The sequence below is a fragment of the Homo sapiens genome, chromosome 3, assembly GCF_000001405.40.
Source record: "Homo sapiens chromosome 3, GRCh38.p14 Primary Assembly".
Taxonomy (NCBI): domain Eukaryota; kingdom Metazoa; phylum Chordata; class Mammalia; order Primates; family Hominidae; genus Homo; species Homo sapiens.
This window is the reverse complement of record NC_000003.12, coordinates 129306472-129331987: the sequence shown is the minus strand read 5'-3', so window position 1 is coordinate 129331987 and position 25516 is coordinate 129306472. Positions and strand designations below refer to the sequence as shown.

The following is a 25516-nucleotide window of genomic DNA, read 5'->3' as shown; positions in this document are numbered from 1 at the left end:
TCCACAAAACAAAAATAAGTGAGACTGCTCAATTTAGAAAAAATATCACTTTCCCCAGAAGGAACATGTTTCTCATACTAAGATTCTCCAAGAACCTTCACTGTCTAGAACAGTTTCCCAGTGGTGCCTGAAGAGACATCTGCTGTGAGGGATTAAATGTTCAAATGAGTGACACCAAGACCAAGAGCTCTAGGAGTTCCGAGACAGCCACCCATGGACTCCATGGGAGAAGGCAGGGCTCAGGGCCCTGGGCTGGACCTGAAGAGGGAGGAGTACAGAGGGGCTGAGGGAAGTCACAAGAGTGTCCAGGCCATGTGTGGATGGGAGGGGGAGGATGGATTCCAGGGTTTTAAAGTTCAGAAGAGTCAGCACGCCATCATCACCTGAATCCAGCCACAGCCATTTGCACAGTGATTTCTGTGCTCCATCTAAGCAAGAGTGAATCCTAGCCATGGCTGGTCACTGCCAGGGCAAGAACTGAGGCCTCCTCATTCCTTGTCATCCCAGAGCTCAGCCCTGGGCAGCCCAACTTAGTCCTCCCAGAGGTTCTGATAAGCACATCGCTGGGCTGAGATCTAGCTCAGGCATGGAAGGGTTTCATCCTCACCCTGTCTAGCCTGTTGGGCCCCACACTAATCCAGGTGCTTTCTCGGGCTCTGATCCAGGGTCAGAGGAGATGAGCGTGGGCTCCTGAAGACAGTAAGTTGTCCCCATCCCCTCTGTCCCTGCTGCTCTGATCCTGTCTGGACAGGGTTTGCTGGTCCGTGCTTTTCACCTCTGTGTACAAGTGCAGCCCCTGCTGGGAACCCTCGACCTGGATGCTGTCCTCCCCGTTGCAGCATCCCCAGGCCTCACAGAGGGCCTGGCCCCTGTACCTGTGCCCAGGAAGCTCCCATAAATGGATGATTGGATCAGAGCAGACACCTACTCTGCAAGGAAACACCAGGGTAGAAGAATCATGTCTTCTTCATCTTTATATCTCTGAAGCTGCGCTCTTCTGTGTGGCAGTCACTACCGGGAGGTGCTCCTTATTACTAACTTAATTAATCCATTCAATTAATTAGAGTGCAAGAAAACACTGTGTTCAACAGCCACATTTCATGTGTCCCTAGGAGTTATTTGCCACTGACCATAGCACTCAACAGCACAGAGAGCATTTCCCTCTGCACAGAACACTTGGGTAGCTGTTCTGAGCCCAGCCCAGGTCTGTTGAATGAGCTCATCTACCTCACAATGTTTCCATCACGGTTAGAATTCCAGGTAGGTAAGTCTGTAGCGAGAGCTGTAACATTGCAGCAAAAATGGGGAAGTGAGAGGAGGAAAGGAGACCTTCTCACTTGATGGTTTACAATTGTCAGCAACGCCTCATTGATGGTCTCGAACTCCATAGAGCCCAGGGAGGGTAAGAGAGCCCAGAGGACAGAGAAGCATGATCTTGTGTCATCTAATGTGACCTCAATGGAGTAGGAGGGATGGGTGAGTCACTCTCTGGAATACCCTTCTTGCTGATGTTTGTGGCCCCTGGACACCATGTGGTGCACGCAGCAGTGAGGATGAAGACGGGAGGTAGGGGACTCCACTCCAGGTAGGACCCAATGGGAGAGGCTGCTGGGGAGCACGAGGGTTACACTTGAGGCTATGAAGCCTTGGAAGGGAGCTGTGAAATCAGAAATAAATGTGTAAAATCTGATTTGTTCTTTTTGTATTTTAACGGCATACAGAGATGGTGCCTCTGGGCTCTGAGTGTGCTGTGTTTGCCATCATAGTATTTAAAGATGGTCTTTCTCAAAGCACCAGATCTTTCCTGCCTTTGCCACAGCAAACTTCAGAGCCTTTGATTATGTTTCACCTCTTGGGAATGATACACAAAAGATTTTGGTTTGACTTTTGGGTGTTGACCTCCAGGGGAAGGAATCTGGTGAGACACAACTCTCTCATAGGCAGATACCTGATCTTGGAGGCAAAGTCCATCTAGTGAGTGCGGGGTGCTGGGTGAGAAGTCGGCCCTCTCCCTCTGTACTTTCTTTTCTTTTTTTTTTTTTGAGATGGAGTCTCTCTCTGTTGCCCAGACTGGAGTGCAATGGCACGATCTCGGCTCACTACAACCTCCGCCTCCTGGGTTCAAGCGATACTCCTGCCTCAGCCTCCTGAGTAGCTAGGATTACAGGCGCATGCCACCATGCCTGGCTAATTTTTTGTATTTTTAGTACAGACGGGGTTTCATTGTGTTAGCCAGGATGGTCTGGATCTGACCTCGTGATCCGCCTGCCTCGGCCTCCAAAAATGCTGGGATAATAGGCGTGAGCCACCGCACCCGGCCCCTCCCTCTGTACTTTCAGGACTTGGAGCAGAACCTTCATGTTCTGTCCTCGTAACTGGGGGACCAGTTAAAGGGCAGCCAGGTTTCTGCTGGGGCATGGGCCAGCTGTGCCCGCCGGTCTCAGGTGTAACAGGCTAAGTCGCCCACAGTGGTGTAGACAGACCCATTGTGAGATGGATGCCTTAAACTTCTTGACCTGTGTTATCCTCCCAGCAGCCACGTGAGCTTGCACACCACTGTGCTCTCCATTGAGTAGTCGTAGAGGCTGAGACCTGAAGAGGCCAAGCCGCTTGTCTGAGCTCGGGGAGGGCAGAGCTGGAGTCTGAACTCAGATCCATGTGGATCTGCACTCTCATGTGGGAGCCACGGGCCCCAGGGCTATTTACGTGTAGTTAGAAAATGAGCAGTTTGGCCGGGTGCAGTGGCTCATGCCTGTAATCCCAACTCTTTGGGAGGCTGAGGCAGGCGGATCACGAGGTCAGATCAAGACCATCCTGGCTGACACAGTGAAACCCCGTCTCTACTAAAAATACAAAAAAAAAAAAATTGCCGGGCATGGTGGCAGGCACCTGTAGTCCCAGCTACTCAGGAGGCTGAGGCAGGAGAATGGCGTGAACCCTGAAGGCGGAGCTTGCAGTGAGCCGAGATCATAGCACTGCACTCCAGCCTGGGCGACAGAACAAGACTCCGTTGTCTCGAAAAAAGAAAAAGAAAAGAAAAGAAAAGAAATTGAGCAGTTCAGTTCCTGAGATGCATAAGCCTCCAGTCCAGGGTTCACTGGCTGCACGGCGAGTGCTGCCACCTGTGGGACAGGGCAGGAGCAGAGCTACACCGGTCCTTGGCCGGCGCTGGTGCAGGCCCCAGGTCTGACTGTGCTGCTTGCCTCTAGTTTTGCTATGTGATTTTTAAAGAGCACGATGCCTTTTTTTAAAGTTTCATTTTCATGTTTGAGTCTCCTTTTGCAGAAACTTCAGGCCTGTAGAAAATCTGCCAGCGCAGTCCAAAAAGAGGTTTCCCTCACTCACCTGAAAGCCGGTTGCCAGCCTCATGTCCCATCACCCTGATGATTTTCAAGTGCTTTACGACCATTAGTGACGTTGTCCTGCATGGCCACCGTGCAGTTATGGTGCTAGGAAACGAACACTGATGCCGACCATCTTCAGACCTCATTCGAGTTTGCTCATTTGTCTCGGTTTTTTTTTTTTTTTAAATTGAGACAGAGTCTTACTCTGTCGCCCAGGCTGGAGTGCAGTGGCACAATCTTGGCTCACTGCAACCTCCACCTCCCGGGTTCAAGCGATTCTTCTGCCCTCAGCCTCCCGAGTAGCTGGGACTACAGGCGCGCGCCACCATACACAGCTAATTTTTTTTTGTATTTTTAGTAAAGACGGGGTTTCACTGTGTTAGTCAGGATGGTCTCAATCTCCTGACCTCGTGATCTGCCCGCCTGGGCCTCCCAAAGTGCTGGGATTAAAGGCATGAGCCACCACATCTGGCCCAGCCCTTTTTTTTTTTTTTAGACAGTCTCCCTCTGTCACTAGGCTGGAGTGCAGTGGTGCAGTCTCGGCTCACTTCAACCTCTGCCTCCAGGGTTCAAGTAAATTTCCTGCCTCAGCCTCCCGAGTAGCTAGGACTACAGGTGTGCACCACCACGCCCAACTACTTTTTGTATTTTTAGTACACATGGGGTTTCACCATGTTGGCCAGGATGGTCTCGATCTCTTGACCTCATGATCTGCCCACCTCAGCCTCCCAAAGTGCTGGGATTACAGGCATGAGCCACCGTGCCCAGCCATTTGTCCCAGTTTTATCCCTTTCAGCAAAAAGAAAAACCCCAGCCCTGAGTCACCTGCCGCATGTGTCCTGTTTCTCTTAGTCTCTGTCAGCCCGGGACAGCCTCCTGGGCTTTGACTTTGGACACCGTGACACTTGTGAAGAGGACAGTCTGGTTATCTGTAGAGCAGCTCTCATTTTGGGTTTATCTGCTGTTCCCTCATGGCCAGGCTCTGAGCACTGCGTCTTTGGCAGGAATATCACCGAAGTGAGACTCCATTCTTCCACTTGCTTCTGATCTGGGGAAGTCACCTTCTCACCCCTTTGTAATTATAAGTCCTTTGTTGGGGAGTTTACCATCTTCTGGTTTTTTTTTTTTTTTTTTTTTTTTTGAGATGGAGTCTCACTCTGTCACCAGGCTGGAGTGCAGTGGCGCAATCTCGGCTCACTGCAACCTCTGCCTCCCGGGTTCAAGCAATTCTCCTGCCTCAGTCTCCTGAGTACTGAGATTACAGGCACCCACCACGTTCAGCTAATTTTTGTATTTTTAGTAGAGATGGGGTTTCACCATGTTGGCCAGGATGGTCTCGATCTCCTAACCTCGTGATCCGCCCACAATTACGCCATTAAAGTCCAGCTCTGGGCCGTAGGGGATGATGGGGACGTGGTGGTTCCTCCATCACAACCTTCTCCAGAACTCAGCTCACGGTGACTCCAGGCAGACGTCCTCACGTCCTGATGCCTTTGAGAGCTGAGTCGCCCTCCTGGAGGCAGAGCTTTCTGGACCAGCTCTGCAGTTTCTGGTGTTTTGTAAAACTATGACCACGAGCCGGAGAGTCAGAGACCTGGATTCCAGTCCTGGCCTTGTCACTTCCTGCCTGTGGCCTTAGCCAGGGAACGTTACCCACCTGAGCCTCAGCCTCCTGCCCTGGGAAACAGAGCTGGAGGGGATCCCATGCCCAGCTCGGCAGATTGATCCGCTCAGGGCCCCTCTCTGGGCCTGGCGCATGTTGGATGTTGAGGGGATGCTGGTTCCCTGTCCCCTTCTGACAGCCCCGTCCCCTGCCATGTCAGGCCCCCCAAGCTTCCAGGCAGCTCTGCACCTGAGCCGAATGATAACAGAAATCCCAGACACCAAGGCAGGTTGGAGCTGGATTGTCCTGGATTTGTGGTCAATTTGACATGTGACACCTAGAGTAACCAGGCGAGGAAATAAATTACGGCGTGGCCCGGCACCGGCAGATGCTGGGGAGATGGAAGCATGGCGGCAGATTGCTCTTGTGCAGGGGAACAGTGGGCTCGTTTGTAAATGCAGGCTGAAGTGGGAGGCTGCGTGGGAAGGATCCCTGAAGTCAGCCTGCCCAGCAGCCCACACTCCATGCTACACCACGTCCCCGACATCTCCCCAAGCTGGGATCTGGGGAGAGTGAGACGTGGTGCCGTCCGGTCCCCAGGGCTAAGGGACCAGTCATGGAGAATCGTTCCCCAGAGCTGGGTGGTAGGCCAGGGAGGTGGGACAGGAGCAGGCAGCCTCAGGGAGGCGAGGGCGCTGCTGGTCCGGCCTCGGCTGGGCTGTGTTCTTGGGCCTGTTGCCTCATCTCTCAGGCCTCATTGTTCCTGTGTGGACTCAGCGGCTGGTCTTGCATGTCAGTGTTTCCATCACGTATGCAGGTGGATAAAATGGAGTTTCCCAGGCTTCTTGCAGACACAGCCTGGGCCAGGGGCCAAGCATCTGCATTTTTCACAAGGACATGGGCAGATCTGATGTAGGAAGCTGCAGGGACATGTCTCTAGGTAGCCCCAGCCCTGACTAACGGGACACCCCTTATTTCTTCAGTGTTGGCCCCAGTGGGAGGGGCTGATAGGGAATGCTGTGGTAGATTCTGACAGACCTTGTGTCTGGGTTTGATCAACAAACTTTAACAACGCGTTCCTTTTCCAGAATCATCACTTTCTTGGAGTCTATGTCCATCCCTCCTCAGAGCACAGACCCCCTGAAGGTTCAGACTAGTTCTACTGTGAACACTATAGATCTATTATCACTTCAGAGCATAGACCTGCTGTGTGTTAAGGACAGAGCTGCTAGGATTCTGAGTGTAGACCCACTGAGGAACAGGAACAAGTTTGAAGGAGCCTTGTTCAGATAGAATGGGATGAGTCCAGGTTTGGTCCTCGGGAGGTCAGCTCAGGACTCAGGGCTGAAGGCGGCATCAGGCATCTGTTCCTCAGCAACAGGTCCCTCTCTGTGGAGGAGGCCAGCGCCATAATTGTGGGGCCCCTAGGTGGGTGGTGTGGGGCCTCCAGGTAAGTGGTGTGGGGCCTGCAGGTGGGTGGTGTGGGGCCTACAGGTGGGTGGAGTGGGGCTTCCCATGTGGATGCTGAGGGCCCCTGTGCTGAGGGTGGTGGTCCCATCCTCCTCCACCCTGCTGCCCCTGAGGCCTGAGTGCTCAGGCTCCCCCTGCCTGTTTTAGGGTTCACCATTCACCCTGGTGATAGGTGGGTGCTGGAGACCGGCCGCCTGTATGAAATCACCATTGAAGTTTTTGACAAGTTCAGCAACAAGGTCTACGTATCTGACGTCAGTGCCTGTTCAGGTCCTGGCTGGGGGGATGAGGTGGGTCGTTGTCTGACGCAGCTGCTGGAAAGCAGCCCCCAAAGCAACAGGAGCCCCCATGCAGGATGACTGAGGAAGGGTCCTGTTTCTAGTGGCGCTCCTGGGTCTGTGGGAGACACTGCCAAGGCATCCTGGGGCATTTCCAGAGCCTGTGAGCCTGCACACCCGCCCCACCGCAGAGTCCCTGTAGGGCTGGAGCCCTGTAGTCCCTGTAGGGCTGCCACAGCGGCAGGGCTTCAGGAGAGGGGGATACGGAGGAGGTCTCTGCCCGCCACTCTCCCACCCCCTTTTCCCCAAGCTGGGGACCTCAGAGGATTCATTCTTCTCCCGCCCTGCCGAGAGTCAGGGAGCACGTCCTGGCCTTCTCCCTGCTGAGCCCCAGAAATACCTGGAACCCTGCGTGACAGAGGCCGAGCTCAGCACGCTTTCTGGTTCTGGAAAGGGGTGTCAGACAGATGGGGAAATGTGCAGGAGCCTTGGCCACCTCTCTGTCCCCTGTGAGAAATTCCAGGCTCATCAGTGAGTGCCTCCAGGCCCTTCCAGGTGGTGTTGGAGGTTTGTTTGTTTTTTGAGATGGAGTCTTGCTCTGTTGCCCAGGCTGGAGTGCAGTGGAGTGATCTCGGCTCACTGCTACCTCCACCTTCTGGGTTCACGCTATTCTCCTACCTCAGCCTCCCCGAGCAGCTGGGACTACAGGCGCACACCACCACGCCCGGCTAATTTTTTTTATTTTTAGTAGAGACGGGGTTTCACCGTGTTAGCCAGGATGGTCTCGATCTCCTGACCTCGTGATCCACCTGCCTCGGCCTCCCAAAGTGCTGGGATTACACGCATGAGCCACCGCGCCTGGCCCTGTGTTGGAGGTTTTAGAAAGAGGTGAGGTTCCTCTCGGTGTCCTTGAAGAAGCCATTGCTTTGCTTGTGTTATCAAACAAGGGCTGGGATGGTCACCATTTGCAGTTAGCTGTAGGGGACGTGATGTCCTTTTTTTGGTATTTACTGGTTCCTTGTTGAGACCTTGGTAGGCTCCAAGCTGCCCCAGGTGCCACACGGGGAGATGAAACAGGAGTGCAGGTCATCGGGCCATGCAGGGAGGGTGCCCTGGGTGGGGACAAAGGCCATAGTGGTTAGAGCTCTGTTCCAGGGCCTGACCTGCCCGTCTGCTGCTAGTGGAGGCTGCTGAACACCAGGGGGCCCCTTGGCCTGGCCCGGCTGCTGGTTTCAGTTCTGTAGCTTCTTGCCCAAACTCTGACTTTCTGGAGTCACCCCAGAAGCACCTCTCACCTGTCCTGCCTCGCCTTCCAGAACTTCTGAATTGAAACTGTGCTTCCTGCTGAGTTCTTTGAGGTGCTCTCGGCCTCCCAGAATGGGTCATACCATCACGTCAGGGCACTAAAGAGGGGACAGATGGCCATTGACGCGGCCCTCACCTCTGTGGTGGACCAGGCAAGTTGGTGTCTCCCCTGCGTCGTGCCTTGGCCTATGAAGCCCTCCTCTGTAGGCAGAAATGTCAGCCCAGGAGGGCCATGGGTCGAGTTGGGCCACCAGTGTCCCTTTGCCTGTTTGGGCTACTTACATCCTGGGTTCTTTTTTCCTTTGTCTTTAAGAAGCCCATCAGCCTTAGGGAGCAGAGCTTTGCTGATCGGAAAATCGGCCTGGGTGTTCCCATTTTCCTACCCTGCGCAGAAGGCCTCCCGGCCTGGAAGGGGCCGCAGGCTGTAACAGGAAGAAATGCCCATGCACCGACAGTGACTCCTGCCAGAGTCGGCCTCCTCATCTCTGGGAGCTGGGTGGGCTGCTTTAGCTCTCAAGCCTCAGTTTCCCCATCTGTAAAGTAGGGGGTACACCACGTCCATCCTGCCGGGGTGCCCTGAGGATTCAGTCAGGCAGCACTTCCAGGAGTGGCTGTAGCAAAGCCACGGAAAGCCATCCCTGTGGAGAACGAGAGGGTGGCAGGGTGTCTGGAAACTTCCTCTCCACTCTCCCACAAAATCCACCTTTGTGGCCTGATCCCCAGGGAGGGGTGGGGGTCCAGTGACTGGGAAAGACTGCTGATGACATGGTTGTCATAGTGATGTGTGGCACCCTCACCCCTTGTAGGATAGAGGGGTCCACACACTATGGGTGCCTGTGTGGAACCAGCAGGAGGTGGAAATTCACATCCCCATCACCCTGTATCCCAACATCTTGACGTTTCCATGGCAACCAAAGACAAGTACTTATCAGTACACAATAAAGCTACATGAGACCCCCACTTCTGGGTGCATTCCTCTGGTGTTTCCATAGGATTGTGGCTTTTCGTCCATTCTATTACTTTTTTTTTTTTTTTTGAGACAGAGTCTTGTTCTGTCACCCAGGCTGGAGTGCAATGGCACAATCTCGGCTCACTGCAACCTCTGCCTACTGGGTTCAGGTGATTCTCCTGCCTCAGCCTCTCAAGTAGCTGGGACTACAGGTGTACACCACCATGTCCAGCTAATTTTTGCATTTTTAGTAGAGACAGGGTTTCACATGTTGGCCAGGCTGGTCTCGAACTCTTGACCTCAAGTGATCCTCCCACCATGGCCTCTCGAAGTGCTGGCATGAGCCACCACGCCCGGCCTCATTCTGTTACTTTTAACGTTACTCTCTAGTGGCCTACTTTAAATCACAGTCTTTATGATTTCTGTTATTTCCTGAGGTTTCCATCATAGCAATGCATTTTTTGTAATCAGGAAAAAGCCCAACAAAAACCAATAGTGAAAAAATAGAGAAAAGAAAATACAATAAATTCTGGAATATTCTGGAATACAGATTTGAATTTCATTAACATTTCTTTTTCTAAAAGTTATGTTTTGAAAGCTATATATATCTGTATATAGATATAGATATATAGATATATGCTCTTAGAGAAAACATTCAAATTCAAGGCATAAGTATCTCCAACCCCATCACATGGGACGTGTCACTGCTTTGATCTTCCTGCCTGCACGTGGCATTAGCCAGCAGGACTCGCGTTAGACAGGGCTCGAGTCCTCGTGGTCAGTGCAGGGCACATCAGTCCTGCTGTCCCATGGAGTGGTGACAGGTGTCCTTTCTATGCACTGGCACTGGCTCTCTGCTCAGATGTGTCACCGTCCTGGCCCCTTGGGTTCTAGGGTTGTTTCCTCTGGTCTGGGAGCAGAGGTGCGGTCGCTGACCTCCCAGCAGATGATGAGGAGTGGGCAGGGGTGTGTGCTGGGAGCTTGTGTCTGGTCAGGGAGGCAGCGCCCTGCAGCTGGCTCGGTGGCCAGGGGTTCTGCCCACTGCAGCCTGAGCTTTGCGAGGTGCCACCAGATTCTGGGGCCTCTGTCATGGGCATGTGTGTTTGTGTGTGTCAGTCTCGAGGTCCCCAGAACATGAGGGCAGAAACAAGACAGGACAGAGAGGGCGAGGGCAGGGGGAGCCTCCAGCCAGACCCTGGCTGACACCACGTTTTTCCCTGCAGTTGGCATCGACCTTGTGTGTGAGTGAGTAAGTGGCCACAGGTGTTTTTGAGGATGTGAGAATGGGTGTGTTTGAATGTGTCTATAGGTATGTGTGTGAATGTGTAAGAAAGTGGGTATGTGTAGAGCTGTGTGGGTATGTGAGGATGTGTGTGAAGGTATAGGTGCACGTGAGTATGAATGGCTAGGTGAGTGTGTGTTGGCTTGTGTGTAAGCACCTATGTTTGAGGGTGTGTCCGTGGTCAAGTGTGAGCTTGGGTGAGTGCATGTGAACTGGTGAGTGGGAATGGTGAGTGGGTGAATGTGAGGGTAAATGTGTCGAGTGTGTGTGAATGGGTGAGCCTGTGTGAATGTGAGCGAGTATGTATAAGTGCGAGTGGCTGTGTAAATCAGTGAGCATATGTGTGTGAGGGAAGTGAGTGGGAGCATGTGAATGCGTGTGTGAACCTGTGGGTGTGAAGGGTATGTGATGGTGAGCTTATGAGTGTGAAGGGCACATGCCTGTGTGAACATGTGTGTGTGAGCACGTGAATGGGTGGATGATGTGTCTGAGTAGGTGTATGTGTACGAATCTGTGAGTGTGAATGGGTTAGTGTGTGGGTGTGAGGGGTAAACTGTGTGACCATTTTGTGAGCATGTGAATGAGAGGATGACAGGTGTGAGTAGGTGAATGTGTGTGAACCTGTGGGTGTGAATGGTATGTGTGAGGATAAATGTGTGGGTATGAGTGTGTGTGCATATATGTGTGAATGGATGCGTAGGTGTGTGTATGAATGTGAACTATGTGAATGGTGTGTGAGCATGTGAGTAGGAGGGTAAATTGTGTGTGAGTAGGTGATGTGTACGTGTGTCAACTGTAAGTGTAAATGGTGTGAGTGTGTGTGAGCATGACTGAGTAGGTATCAGTGTGAGTGTGAAGTGTGGGTGTGAATGGTGAGCATGTGTGAGGGTAAATATGTGTGAGTAGGTGTCTGTGGGTGTGAACTGTGGCTGTGAATGGTGAGCGTGTGTGAAGGTAAATCTGAGTGTGAGTGAGTAGGTGTCTGTGTGTGTGAACTGTAGGTGTGAATGGTGAGTGTGTGTCTGGAAGCCCAGAATCAGACTGTCGAGCTGGATCATTCAGACTCCATACATCCAGCCCCTTTATACAAACTGGGAGACTGAGGCTGGGCAGTGGTGGTGGGGAAGGGATCACACCCAGCGTTTGAAGGACAGCCCGGGTCAGAGCCCAGCCAGGAGCTCCTGACCCCCATCCTCCCATCCGCTGCTGCTGCAGGTGTGTCTGTGTCGGGAGCGCACTGTGTCCACCCCGCCTTGGTACAGCTAGGAGCATGACCTCCCCCACCCTGCACTTAGCTCACAGCCCACAACTCAACGGACATACTAGATGGCAGGGGCTGTGAGCCAGGCAGGGAGGGTGCTCTGGTAGGAGCCCTAGGGAGGGGTCTAGGGAGGCCGGCCAGGGAAGGAGCCAGCCATGGGGCCACCCCAGCAAGTCCCAGGTCCTGAGAACCCTCTGGGTATGTGTGGGCAGCAAAAAAGGCTATGAGGCTGAGTGCTCAGCTGGGGAGCTGCGGTCAGAGCCTTGGTAGGGGCCAGTGGCAAAGGCATTGGGAGACTTTACCCTACGTCTGGTGAGAAGCCATTAGAGACCTTCTGGCAGAGCCAGGACCCACCACTCAGACTTCTGTGTTGGGGCTGTGCGGACAGAACAGGAGGCTGGGTGGAAAGGGTAGAGAGGGTGGGGGCTCGGCAGCTGTGGGACCAGTTCTGGGGTAGATGGGGAGGAAGCCATGGGTTGGAAGAGAGTAGGGAAATCAGGGAGCAGTCCCTGTCTCTGGGCAGAATCACTGGCAAAAGTTTGGGAGGAGCAGGGTCTGTGTTGGCCACACCCAGGCTCCAGGTGAGGGTGGCAAGAGGAGCGGGATGCTGGGGTCTGCACGGGAGAGAGGCTGACCTCGGGCTAGGGAAATGAACTGCATCATCAGGGTACTGGTGGTGTTTGCAGCCCCAGGACTGAACAATCCCCTAGATAAGGAGGAGAGAGAGAGCCCAGCAGCCACAGAGCCCCTTCCAGATTCCGACCCCAGAAACCCCACTGCTCACAAGCCAGAGCCTCCTCCAGACTGGCCAGGCCCAGGGAAGGGCGCGACTCAGGTGCTGGGCACATGGTCTTGCCCTGGTCTCTGCTAGGCCCTGGCCACTTCCAGAAGCTCCTTTTCTCATATTTGGCCATTTTTTTTGGTTGAGGACCTGGGACCTTCCCCACCTACAGTTTCCTTGGTGGGGTAATGCAGAAGGGATGACCAGCAGTGTGGGGGTAAGAGGCACCCTGAAGGCTGCAAGACCCCAGCCTGAGTCCTGGTCTCCTGGCTAACCCCCTCCTCAAGCCTCAGTTGCCTCTACCATATCATGAGGGCAAGTGGAAGATCCCACTTAGTCTATGCCAGCTCCCAAAGTCTAGAATTAGTCTTCTGAGCCCTGCGCCACAGGCAGCCTCCCTCTTGACAAAAGCCCCGCTCCCCTCACAGGCTGAGGAGCCGGCCCCCAGCCCGTGTGCCCACCAAGGCTGGTGTGGGGTCTGAGCTGCATCCTCCGTGTCCTCCCCCCGGGACTGGACAGCACTGCCCTGCCCACAGGGCTCCAGCCCTGTGTTGACTGCTTCTCCCCTGCAGTCCCAGCCAGGTCCCCCGGGGCACCGTGGCTGCGAGCCTGGCCGCTCTCCTCAGTGCCCGGACTGCGGCTCTACTTTGTGAGTGGCTGTACTGGCTGCGGTGCCCAGCCCTCCTCTCTCGAATCTCCTCTCCTCAGATGTCATGAAGGAGGCCACACCTGGGTCCCGCCTTCCTCCGTGACCCTGTCCCTTTGTCTCCACTAGAGCATCCCCTTCCTCCAGCACAGATGACCCAGGAGTGTCCCTGGCCCAGCCTGTGGCTGCAGCCAGCTCCAGAGTGGCATGTCCAGCATGCCACTCCTCCCCCCTGCGGTGGCTGCACAAAAGGCCAAGCGATGGCCCTGTTGCCCATGGCTGGGACTCCTTCAGGGGTATCGCTTCTGCTCACCCTTTAACTTTTCAAAAGACCCAAGCTCAAGCCCCTTGTATTAGTCCATTCTCACAAAGCTATAAAGAACTACCTGAGACTGGGTAATTTACAAAGATAAGAGGTTTAATTGGCTCACGGTTCCGCAGCTGTACAGGAAGCACAGGGCATCAACTTCTTGGGAGGCCTCAGGGAGCTTTTACTCATGGCAAAAGGTGAAGTGGAGCAGGTGTCCTACATGGCAGGGGCGGGACCAAGAGAGGGAGTCAGGGGAGGTGCAACACGCTTTCAAACAACCAGATCTCATGATAGCTCACCATCATGAGGACATCACCGAGGGAATGGTGCTAAACCATTAGAATCCACTCCCATGATCTGATCACCTCCCACCAGGACCCACCTCCAACACTGAGGATTAAAACTGAACCTAAAATTTGGGTGGGAACACAGATCCAAATCATATCACCTGCTCTGGGTCATGGCCGGGCTGCCTCCCCTCCACCTGGTTCCAGGGCCGGCTCTTTTGGGTTTCCTGCTCCCATCCCATCTCTGTACACTGCGGTCACTCCAGCTGTGGCCACCATGTTCCTCTCCCCAGAGTCCCCTCTGCACATCCTCAGAAGGCTCCTGGTCCTGAGCACCCTGATCAGTGGGCCCAGCACACACAGCTGGCTGTTCCTCTCACGTCCTCCATGCAGCCAGCCTGGCCTGGAAACAGCTGTGCAGTTTCGGCAGGCTCAGCTGGGTGGTGCTTTCAGAAACCCATCCCCGTTCTCTGTCAGGAAATTCACATGGTCCTTCTTCAAGAAGGTGGAGGCCTCAGGCCCTCAACGTTGTCCTGTGCCCTGGAGACAGTCCACTCAGCCAGTCCTTCCTGGGAAAGGAGCCCATCCTCCTCTGCAGGGACCTGGGCTGCAATCTCTCTTCTCACTTTTCTCAGGGTACCTGGTGCTCTGGGGGGCGAAGGCTGTTTCCTGGCTCCATGCCCCTGCCAGCCTCCCCCCTAAAAAACCCATCCAGGCTCACCGTTTCCTCCTAGACATAATTTCTTCCTCTCTGGGGTTTATTCCCTTGACAGGGTGACAAAATGGGGGGCGTGTGTGTGTGTGAAAGGGGTGAGCTGGAGAAGAGGGGAGGTGCTGCTAGCCCTCACCCAGAGAAGCCTGCTTGGGCCCAAGGCCACAAATGCACCAACCCACCCCCTTTTCAGGGCCTTTTACTCTGTCCACCTGTAAATGTTCCTGTCTCTCACTCTGGGAACCCCAATTCGCCAGCGTCCTGTCCCCCCTCACCCCTCCATCGCTTTTCTATGCTGGGCCTCTGGAGACTGTCTCCTGCCTGCAACCCTGCCACCCCCCAGCCCCAGCCCCACTCCTGTGCCCTACATCACCTACCCCCAAAGGGATCCCCTCTCCTACCCGAGCATCTTACCCTGGCCTCAGCTTCCCCAAGTGGAGGCTGCAACGGCTTCAACAAAAACTGTCCTGTGCCTTCTCTGCACCCCCAATACTGGAATCAGCAGAGATCGGGCCGCCAGCCTTGCACAAGCCCCCCCGGGGAGGGTGGGGCCCGGGACCCTCTCCAGGACATGGTCTCCTTTGCTGTGTTCCCGCCATCATTTCCCTGTGCACGGGAGAGGGGGAGGGGTGCACCCAGGAACTAAGAGCGAATCCCTTCCCCATCCTCTCACAGGAATTCCTCTGGGTGTCACAGCCTCACCCCCGCCCACCCTGTCCCACCCTGGAGCCCCCATTTGGCTTTGGGGGGACCGGCGGCAGCTACTTGTGGATTACAAAATGAGGCCCTGGGAACATCAGCGGCAACAGGGTGGGGGGAGCGGCGAGGCAGTGTCCCTAGAGAGGTCCTGCCGTAGTCCTCCATTCCCCGGGTTGTGCCTAGGCTCCCAGAGGCACAACCAGAACCCGGGGTGCAGCTGGAGAGTGCCTCCCATCCGCCATCCCCTTTGGATGGGGCGGAAAACCCCCGAGGATGTCCTAGCGCAGTTCACGTTGCCCCAGCCGACCACGTGAGGGCGCGCCCTGTGTTAGTTTGGACAAATTAAAGCTCCTCTTGCGGGCAGGCCTGGAGCCCCCCGGGCCGGGACAAGGCTCGGGTGCCCGTGGCGTTCTCTGGGTTGCCGGCCGCCAAGCTCCCGGCCGTGGGGCCTCCTCTGGGGCCCGCGCTATTGGCCTCCAAACGAGGTGCCCCCCTCCTCTCGCGCTCCCGCAGCCTAGGGTGCACCTCTCCGTTCGCCTTTGCTGAGCCCTTCCAGGACGCAAGTCGCCTCTCCACTGCGCCGGGAGCTCAGGCCCTGTCCGGGGCGCCCCGCTGCGGGCGCGGCGGCGCTGGAGAGGCGCGGTCCGAGAAGCCAGCGGCCGGAGAAGGGGCTCCAAGAAGCACAAGTTGGCGCTGGCCCCGGACCAGGCTGTTGTTGTTCTCAACGTGGTCCGCCATGAAGCTATAAAAAGCCGAGAGAAGCGCCCTCCCGCCAGAGCGCAGCGCGCACGCCCAGCGAGTTCCAGAGGCGCCAGTGGAAGCTGCGGCGGCGGTGTCTCGCGTTCGGCGGGATTTCTCTTCGCTCCGGCTCGGCCTAGGTCTACGTCCCCAGCTCCAGCCGCCGGCTCGGACTCGGTCTCTGACCCCCAACTCGGTCCCCTAGTCCGGCCCCGGCTCCGGGCCCCCCAACCCTCGCTCCGGCCCGGCCCGGCCCCCACCCCAGCCCTGCCGCCCGGCCCCAGGCCCGGCCGCGGCCGCTCCCGCCTGGAGCCGCCGCGCGCCCCCAGCCCCCCTGCACCCCCTCGGCCCCTCGCCTTCCTCTTCCCGGCGCGGCCCCCCGGCTTCCGCGCGCCGCCCGCCACCAATCCTCTTGCTACCATGTCCGTGGAGCTCGAGGAGGCCCTGCCAGTGACGACCGCCGAGGGAATGGCCAAGAAGGTGACCAAGGCTGGCGGCTCGGCGGCGTTGTCCCCATCTAAGAAGAGGAAGAATAGCAAGAAGAAGAACCAGCCGGGCAAGTACAGCCAGCTGGTGGTGGAGACCATCCGTAGGCTGGGCGAGCGCAACGGCTCGTCGCTGGCCAAGATCTACACCGAGGCCAAGAAGGTTCCGTGGTTCGACCAGCAGAATGGGCGCACCTACCTCAAGTACTCGATCAAGGCGCTGGTGCAGAACGACACGCTTCTGCAGGTGAAGGGCACCGGCGCCAACGGTTCCTTCAAGCTCAACCGCAAGAAGCTGGAGGGCGGCGGGGAGCGGCGCGGAGCCCCGGCGGCCGCCACCGCCCCGGCCCCCACCGCGCACAAAGCGAAGAAGGCAGCCCCGGGCGCGGCCGGCTCCCGGCGCGCGGACAAGAAGCCCGCCAGGGGCCAGAAGCCGGAGCAGCGCTCGCACAAGAAGGGCGCTGGCGCCAAGAAGGACAAAGGCGGCAAGGCCAAGAAGACGGCGGCCGCCGGGGGCAAGAAGGTGAAGAAGGCGGCCAAGCCCAGCGTCCCCAAAGTGCCCAAGGGCCGCAAGTGAGCGTGTCGGCCGGTCAGAGCGGCCGGCGTGGGCTTTTCGGTGTTTTTGTTTTTCTACCCCAAGTGACGTAGATTTTGTACGGCTCACGCCGGCCGGGGCCGCGAGGCCTGGTCTGAGCCTCAGGGAGGGGCCCCGGGTCCTCTCAGTCTTTCCCCTCCCCCAACGATGTAGCGTTTTTCGTTGTTTGCTTTAGGTTTTTGAAACAGCCCCGGCGACGCCTCTATTGGCTCTCGGCCTTGGCAACGGCCGTCGTCATGGTTACTGGCCCCTAGGCGCCGATGGCCGAGGCCGCGCCTGCCCACCGGGCGGGGTCGCTGGTTGGCCGGGCCCAGGCGCGCGGGGACGCGGAGGCCGCGCATCCTTTCCCAGCTCCCCACCCTCCTTGCCTTTGGGTGCGCGACAAACAATCGCTCCGGGCTCAGGGCTGCGCGGCTCTTCCCTTCATTCCATGGGCCTTTTTTTGGGCACAATAAAGCGTTTAAACCTTTCAGCCTCTCTCGTTTAATCTGAGTGGAATAGGGATGGGCGCCTTCGGCACGCGGGGTTGGATGGCGGGCCCCTCGGGTCCTTATACCCCAGATCTGTTGGCCAGGGTAGGCCTGGAGCCAGGGGCCTTCAGCAAGGGGTGGGAATTGCTGGCTTGGGACGAACTTAAAGTACCTGGGACAGGGAGATAGACAGGATCGGTCCCTTAGGAGGGATGGATCTATCTGCCCCCACAGGGGGTCCATCGGCCATTGCGGGGAGCGGGATGGGGGAGGGGAGAGGAGGGGGGATTAATGGGTTTTCAGAGTTAATGGTCAGGGACCTAAACTTGGCCTCCAGAGAGGTAGTTCTTACAAAGTCACACCAGACTGGCCTGTAAACTTAGTCATTCTGACTCCAGCGAGGGTTAGAGTGAGATGTGACCAGGACGAAGTGTGGTGGCCAGAGAGTGGAGTTCCTGACCACAATCCAACGTGTGGTCTCAGAAGGGTATTTGCTGTCTCTGAGCCTATTGGTTAAGCTAGAGTGCAAACGGGACCCAAAGGATTGCTGGGAAAATTAGTAGGAGCAGAAGGATCTCCAGCCCTGGGACATTCTGGTATCCAGCATGTGGGATAGTTGTCTGTCCAGTTGGGCAATAGGTCAAGGTCTATTCTAACAGATGTCCCTAAAAATGGACAACTGCAAAACAGGCCCCCAAGGGCAGTGGAAACAGGGAAGCTTCTGAAACAGTGGATATATACTCATACCAGCGTGAGTGACTGGAGTTAGGTGAGAATGCAGGAGAGCTCGTTTTACCCTCTGTGTAAGAAATTGCAGAAACTACAGGTGGAGGCAGGACCTCCTGGCCATAGACTGGAGAGGAGGGAGCATTGCTGGAGAGGAGCCCAGGCCTGCTGCTACCCCTGATCTGGGCCTGGCAGACCTCTCTGCCGCCTGGGTGAGTTGCCACTCCATTCCCTCTGCAAATCTTCATAACCCATTGTGGCTTCCTCCCTGCTGCTTCCTGCCTCACTGAACTGCAGAGCCAGGTGCCAGTGGGAGTCCTACCTGCCCTGTCCTGGGCCAAGCTCTGAGGACACAGCAGTAGACAAAACCAGTCCAGGTGCCTGCCCTGCCCAAGCTCCCTGGCTAGTGTGGAGATGGTGAATGATGAGGGCAGAGGTACTATCATCAGGACACACATGGCTGTGGCTGTTTGGGGTCTGGGGGCCTGTGGGCACCTAGGAGGCAGGTAGGCCTAGGCTGGCAGCTCCACACCTGCTGCCAGATCATGTCCCAGTTGTCCAAATCTGAATCTCTGGGGCTAGGCCTGGGAATCAGCCTTCTGACCAGATCCCCAGGTGGTTCTGGGGTTCAGAGAGGGCTGAGGAGGGCTGCAGCAGGGGCCATGGGCACCAAGGCCTCAGACATTTGTCCTCTGTGGACACTGCTCCTTCCTGCCTGCCTGTTCAAGTGCTCCATGAACACTGAGTTTCATCCCTCCTTGAACCTTTCTCCCTAACCAAGGCCTCCACCTTGCTGACCATCTGTCCTTTGAGGCCATCTCATCATGTCCAAGTGCCAGCCCAGGCCTGTCCCATACTCCTTGCAGGGCCAGCCAATAGGCCACCAGGAGCTAGGGTCCAGGAGAGGCCTTGGCATACCCAGGATTCTAAAGAGATGGTGCTGCTGGCCAGCTAAATCCAGTGCCCCAAAGTGTGCTTTGGGCTGTCCTTATTCCTCATTGCCTTTCCATATTTCTCACCAAAATCTATCCTTTGCTGTTCACACCACCTGCCTCCACTAGTGGCTGCCTCCTCTGGTGCTACCTCCCACCCCTGCCTCTTGTCACCCACTCTTCATTCCTTGGCATGGGCCCCAGCTTGCTGTCTTCCCCACCCTGAGGCTTGCACCCTCCAAGAGCACTTAAAAGGCACCCAGTAGACCAGCCCTCAGTGAGACAGGCCATCCACTTTGCTGATAATATTGTGAGCTTCCCTTGGGAACCCAGCCCCAGGGTGGTCACATGACTCAAGACCTGGCCAATAAGTGTTCAGTCTGTTATTCACTTGGCCACACTGATTAGGTCAGAAATGGGTTGTTGATCCAGTGAGTTCAATGAAAGTCAATCCTGGGACAGAATTCCCTGGAACTGCTGAGAAAGAGGTGCTCTTTTGCTAGGATCACTAAATTTTAGGGACATGGGTCCAGAGTTGCCAGTGACTATCTTTGTCAACATATAGGGAAAGCCCCCCTGAATAAGGAGCCAAGATAGAGAAAATTGGAGCCAGGAAATGGACAGATGCTTAATGACATTAATGGAGCTTCTGGATCAAGCCATGCCTGCAGCTTGGATAGCCCTGACTATCCTATGAGCCTATACATTGCTTTTTGCATACATTAGTTTGGGGTTTCTGTTGCTTGCATCCTGGTCTCTCACTCAAAGGAGTGACTCACCTAACCCTCCCCACATGCCCATCCTGGACCTTGTCGTCCTTTCAAATTGCTCTTCCTCTGAACCACCCTTCTAGTGTCCCATTCTCTGCCCATAGGCCCTTCCCCTCCCTTTTTCCCAGCTTGCTCACTTGGCCCCTTCAGCTGGGTGGCTTTCTGACTTTATGCGACCTGTGCTACTGTGGGGTTCACAGAGTAGGTCACCACATCCCTGAGAGGTGACCCTAAGTTGATGCCATATGACCACAACCAACCACACCTGAGTACTCACTGTGCCTGGTGCTCTGAGGACTCACAGGCCTGATCTCAACCTCAAAACAACCCCAATCTTGAAAAAGGGTGTTCAAGAGCCAGATTTACTGATGCAGTTGCTGAGACTCTGGGAGGCCAACAGCCAGGTCAAGATTCAAACCTGCTCTATGTAGCTCCAAAGCCTGTATTTTTCTGCCCTGATGCTCAGCTCCTACAGTGGGCTGGGGAGTCCAGGATCCACCATTTATTTACTGTGTCTCCTGGACTTGGCTTCAAGAAGCCTCAATTCCAGTTGAACATTGAAGGCACTTAACACTGTGAGGCTAAGGAGAAGGGCTTTCTAGAGGAGGTGACCCTGGTACAGCAAGGAGGCAAAGGACTTGTGTGCAAGACAGCCCAGGCTTGAGCTCTCCTCTGCAGCCCAGTGTGGATTAGTATTAAATATTAGGAGGGGGCAGGTGGGAGCAGGCCCCTGCTAGAAGCTACCATAGTGGGCCTATCTCCACTATGATCTTTGGGTCTGGGGCAAGCAAGATTGTTCTCCCCAAGTCTCAGTTTCCTCATACGTAAATGGTGCTAAGAAAGACTTAAAAATCATTCATCTGCTAACTAGGCAGAGTCTGATCACACTGTCTCTGGCCAAGACCTCCAGCCTCTGCACCCCCAATCCCTTGAATCCCCCTGGGGTTAGCACCCTATCTGTCGCCAGGGCTACTCTGCTTGCGATGTTGCCTCCTCCCTGTGAGCCTCAACATCTCACCTCTGCCTTCTGGGTCCCCCAATCTGCCTTCTCCCTGGCCCCAGGACAGCTCTGCAGACACTGCAAAGGCCCCATCCCAGGGTGTGTAGCCTTAGTGACTGGTAGAAAGGGATCTCCACTCAGTCAATGTCCCTAGACCAACCTGGTCTAAAGCTGTCTGTCTGCCAGGGCAGGGCTTGGAGCTGAGCACAGGGACTGTTGGGAAGGGTCTGAGCTCTTAGCACAAGGGGTACTGCTATCTCACTGTCCCAGTCATCAGATCTTGGGTGATGTGGCCCAGGGCATATTAGCTCTTCCAGCAGCTCCACCAGTTATGAGGAGGCAAAGAAGTCCTGGCTCTCCCCACAGCAACTGCTGTTAGGGCTACTCACACTTGCAAGCTGGGGGCGGTGATACTTGCAGAGGTATGGGAGAACAAAACATCTCATATGCCAAGGGGTTAGTCCACAGTCATTCATTCAACACCTACTGGATTGGGCCCCTTCTCTTGGACTGTGCCAAGCTAGGGGTGAATGGGAGCAGAGGCAGCGATGGGACTCAGTCACTTGCAGGAGAAGGACAGATAAACCAGAAAGTTCCTGGTAGGGACATTCCAGACTGGAAGCCCCACAGTAGCACAGGCTGCTGGGTTTGGGGAATGGTGAAAGGTGTAGTGGTAAAAGCAGTGGGGGCAATGTGACAGGGCATGAGGCCGGAGAAGTCAGCAGGGCTTCAGGTTCCCATGTCAACTCAATGGAGAAGGAAAACCAGGGAACTGGCTTGCACAATTGTAGGGGCTGATTAAGCAGTTTCTGTAAGGCTGTATCTCCAAGACTGACGGAGCTTGAAGTCCACAGGCAGGTGGTCAGGAGGGGAACACCATGAGCACATGAGCATACTGAAACCCCACTAGCACAGGGAGGACCCGTGACAACAGACTGAAACCTGTGTCTATTCTTTTTGTCTCTGACCTCACTGATGAAGGTAGAAGCTGGAACCCTTAGCCACAGAGCTAGACGTGCACACACCTGCCCCAGGAGTCAGAAAAAACTGAAGGAGAGTCCGGGAAAAGCACAGCAATTGCAGGTCCAGGTGCTGCTTCATGCCAATCAGGTGAGTCAGCAGATCAGCAGTCCAAATGGTTGCTTCCTTCCAAATCTGATGAGAATCTGCCTCCTGGCCCACCCTGATGGAAAATATACTAGTCAGGGAGTTCTGGAAAATATGGTTCAGCCAGGCCAAGTTGGCATGTTACAAAGCCCTCCCAATTCCACAGTTAAAAATGGGTGTGGGGGGTGGTGAGGAGGGCTTCCAGACCAGGTAGAGCATTCTAGCCAACTGGAAGACACAGACTCCACCTGAAGAGGGGCAGTGACTACCCAGCTCTTACTGATTGTTTTCAGAGCTTCCCAGTTTTCCAAATAATGTTAGAAGAAGCACCTCCTGAAAGTTTCCAAGTCCCTCTCTGGAGGCTGGGAGTGGTCTGGCCATGCAGGGAGGAATGGGGTAGGGTACCTCAGTGCAGCAGTGGTCCTACATGGGGCCTGGTTGTCGGAGGCACCTCCTCAAAATTTTTGAAAGTGGAAACTAAACTATTTTCTGAAATTTCCCATTATTTTAAAATATGGACTTAAAAAACACCCCATACCCATTAGAATGGCTACTATGAAAAAACAGGGCTGGGCATTGTGACTTACACCTATAATCCCAGCACTTTGGGAGGCCAAGGTGGGAGGATCACTAGAGCCCAGGAGTTCAAGACCAGCCTAGGTAATATAACGAGACTCCCATCTCTACAAAAAATACAAAAATTAGCTGGGCATGGTGGTGTGTGCCTTTAATCCCAGCTACTCAGGAGGCTGAGGTGGGAGAATCGCTTGAGCCCAGGAGATGGAGACTGCAGTGAGCCAAGATCGAGCCACTGCACTCCAGCCTGGGCAACAGAGCCAGACCCTGTCTCAAAAAACAAAAAACAAGCAAACAAACAAACAAAAAAAAACACAGAACATAGAAAGTGTTGGCAAGGATGTGGGGAAACTGGAACACTTTTGCACTGTTGGAAGGAATGTAAAATGGTCCAACCGCTATGGAAAACAGCATGGCAGTTTCTCAAAAAATTAAATATAATTACTATGCAATCCAGCAATTCCACTCATGGGTAAATGCCCCAAAGACTGGAAAGCAGTGATGAGAAGAGCACATCCATGTTCATAGTAGCACTATTCACAATAGCCAAGAGGTGGAAGCAGCCCAAGGGTCCATTGACAGATAAGTAGATTTTTAAATATGTGATCTACCCATACAATGGAATATTATTTGGCCTTAAAAAGGAAGGAAATTCTGACCCATGCTACAACATGGATGAATCTTGAGAACATTATGCTGAGTGAAAATAGCCAGTGACAAAAAGACAAACACTGCATGATTCCACTTAAATGAGGTATCTAGAGTAGTCAAATTCAGAGATAGAAAGTAGAATGGTGGTTATCAAGGGCTGAGGGGAGGGAAATATGGGGAGTTGTTTAACTTTCAGTTTTGCAAGATGAAAAAGGTTCAGAGATTGGTTGCACAACAATGTGAATACAATTAACAGTATTGAATGTATATTTTAAAATGTTTGGCCAGGCACAGTGGCTCACGCCTGTAATCCCAGTACTTTGGGAGGCCGAGGCGGGCAGATCACCTGAGCTCAGGAGTTTGAGACCAGCCTGGCCAACATGGGGCCAACAAACCCCATCTCTACTAAAAATACAAAAATTATCTGAGCATAGTGGTGGGCACCTGTAGCCCCAGCTACTCGGGAGGCTGAGGCAGAAGAATCACTTGAACTCGGGAGGTGGAGGTTGCAGTGAGCTGAGATCTTGCCACTGCACTCCAGCCTTGGGGGCAGAGCAAGACCTCTGTCTCAAAAAAAAAAAAAAAAAAAAAAAAAAAAAAAGGCTAAGATGGCAGATTTTATGTCACATGCATTTTACCAGAATTAAAAAATAAATATATATTGTATGGGCCAAACAAAATCACTGTGTGAGCTAAATGTGGCCTGAAGTCCCCCAGCTTTGAGATTTCACAACTGGATCTTCTATGAGGACACTTCTGGCCACTTCACAAGACAAGAAGCCCCAAATGATGATGTCCTGAAGGGGACTCAACCAAAGGTAGCCATACACTAGTGAAAGCCAGAGACCTATCTGCCAGTGCTGAGTGTCTACACCTGGGTAACAACCTCTCCATAGAGGGTTGTCATTAGGACCCCAGAGCCTTGCCCAGTGCACCTTATAAATATGCCCTCCCAGAGGCTCCTTTTCTTGCTCGCCTCTTCTTGGCTCTCCCAACCCCTATCCTTCTTCTGGCTGCCTTGGTTAGGGACTGTGAAAGACTCTGCCTTTTACAACTTTCTGTGGTAGGACAGGGGTTTGGATGGTGCGGTGGTTCACACCTTTAATCCCAGCACTTTGGGAAGCCAAGGTGGGAGGATTGCTTGAGCCCAGGAGTCTGAGATCAGCCTGGACAACATAGTGAGACTCCCATCTCTACAAAAAATATGAAAATTAGCCGGGTGTGGTGGCATGCGTCTGTAGTCCCAGCTACTTGGGAGGCTGAGATGGGAGAATCACTTGAGCCCAGGAGGCAGAGGTTGCAGTGAGCCAAGATCGTGCCACTGCACTCCAACCTGGGTGACAGAGCAAGACCTTGTTTCGGAAAAAAAAAAAAGTTCTGTATGTACTGAGGACCCTCTCAGGCAGACAGTACTCAGAGGAGCCTGAGCCAAAGCTCCTATCCCCAGGGAATGAGGTTCAACCCTTCCCATCACTTGTTCCTCACTCTGGTTGAGAAGAAAGAGGCCCAGGTAAGAATGGGGAGCTCCTACAGGCCCAGGTAGGAATCTAGGAGTCTGAGACCTCCCTTACTGCCTCTGGTTCCCCCCACGACACCCACCCTCCAGACTCTTCTTGGCTACAAGCAAGATCTCATCCAACTTCCCCAAGCTGATACACTACTCCCAAGCCAGGAGTCCCGTGGACTTGTCCTTAACTTACCTATGTCAAGCCATATGCGCTTGCCTGGGTCTGTTTCCACCTCTATACAAAGCAGGTTTGGCTTTAGGCATACAAGCCTTGCATGAGACAATGGATCAAGATGGACTTGCAGACAGGACTGAGGGGCAGGCACCTGTATCCATCAGGACCAGAAATCCCAGGGACCCTCTGCCTCCTCTAAGGCTACAGTGCAGGGAAGCATACCCTTAAGACTTAGAGCCAAGCCTGGTCACTGCTAGAGGGTGAAAGGGAGGGAGGTGGGAAGGACTGCTATCTGGGAGCCAAGCAGAGGGGCCAGATGGCCACATCCTAGGCCTGCCCCCACCTGCGCCAGAGATTGGTAGAGGGCCTGGCTCCACCTGGCCACACCTAGACAGGCAGGTGGGAGCTACCCTGTTTGGTCCAGATTTGACTAAGAACAAAAGACGGGAAGATGTTCCATTGCTCTAGTAAGCAGGATTAAATGTTGGCAAGGTGGGAAAATGAAGATTCTTATGCCCCTGAAATATGTGAAAATTTGGAGAGCAATTTGGCAATACCTAGTAAAGCTGATGACTTAGAGAAAAAGAAGTTGCAGAATGCCCAAGATGATACCATTTATGTAAACCTGAAACTCATAAAATGATACTGTATGCTCTCAGACATAAGGATTTGCTTTTTTTTTTTTTTTTTTCTGAGACAGAGTCTCACTCAGCTGCCCAGGCTGGAGTGCAGTGGCGTGATCTTGGCTCACTACAACCACCGTCTCCCGGGTTCAAGCGATTCTCTTATCTCAGTCTCCCAAGTAGCTGGAATTACAGGCACCCAACGTCATGCCCGGCTAATTTTTGTATTTTAGT

The 25516-nt window shown here is 54.3% G+C and overlaps 1 protein-coding gene, 1 long non-coding RNA gene and 1 pseudogene across 2 annotated transcripts, besides 5 other annotated features; 2 read left to right on the top strand and 1 right to left on the bottom strand.

The window, feature by feature from the left end:
• Positions 3225-3284: an enhancer, noted in NCBI's record as "active region_20510". NCBI's record gives its function as "activates an Ori minimal core promoter by ATAC-STARR-seq in GM12878 lymphoblastoid cells {active_cell/tissue: GM12878}" and the evidence as "EXISTENCE:reporter gene assay evidence [ECO:0000049][PMID:35858748]".
• On the bottom strand, positions 7419-15717 carry H1-10-AS1 (H1-10 antisense RNA 1). The gene is made up of 5 exons (NR_026991.1): positions 14643-15717; positions 13678-14056; positions 13351-13445; positions 8384-8638; positions 7419-7807 (listed from the first exon to the last, which is right to left on the bottom strand). It is a non-coding gene; the product is annotated as a H1-10 antisense RNA 1 (long non-coding RNA).
• NUP210P3 (nucleoporin 210 pseudogene 3) lies at positions 8012-8944 on the top strand (annotated as a pseudogene).
• Positions 15224-15563: a silencer, noted in NCBI's record as "silent region_14723". NCBI's record gives its function as "represses an Ori minimal core promoter by ATAC-STARR-seq in GM12878 lymphoblastoid cells {active_cell/tissue: GM12878}" and the evidence as "EXISTENCE:reporter gene assay evidence [ECO:0000049][PMID:35858748]".
• On the top strand, positions 15702-17217 carry H1-10 (H1.10 linker histone). Its single transcript, NM_006026.4, has one exon. It carries the CDS (start codon positions 16086-16088, stop codon positions 16725-16727), a length of 642 nt encoding a protein of 213 aa, NP_006017.1. The 5' UTR covers positions 15702-16085; the 3' UTR covers positions 16728-17217.
• Positions 16364-16493: a silencer, noted in NCBI's record as "silent region_14722". NCBI's record gives its function as "represses an Ori minimal core promoter by ATAC-STARR-seq in GM12878 lymphoblastoid cells {active_cell/tissue: GM12878}" and the evidence as "EXISTENCE:reporter gene assay evidence [ECO:0000049][PMID:35858748]".
• Positions 16874-17163: a silencer, noted in NCBI's record as "silent region_14721". NCBI's record gives its function as "represses an Ori minimal core promoter by ATAC-STARR-seq in GM12878 lymphoblastoid cells {active_cell/tissue: GM12878}" and the evidence as "EXISTENCE:reporter gene assay evidence [ECO:0000049][PMID:35858748]".
• Positions 21666-21725: an enhancer, noted in NCBI's record as "active region_20509". NCBI's record gives its function as "activates an Ori minimal core promoter by ATAC-STARR-seq in GM12878 lymphoblastoid cells {active_cell/tissue: GM12878}" and the evidence as "EXISTENCE:reporter gene assay evidence [ECO:0000049][PMID:35858748]".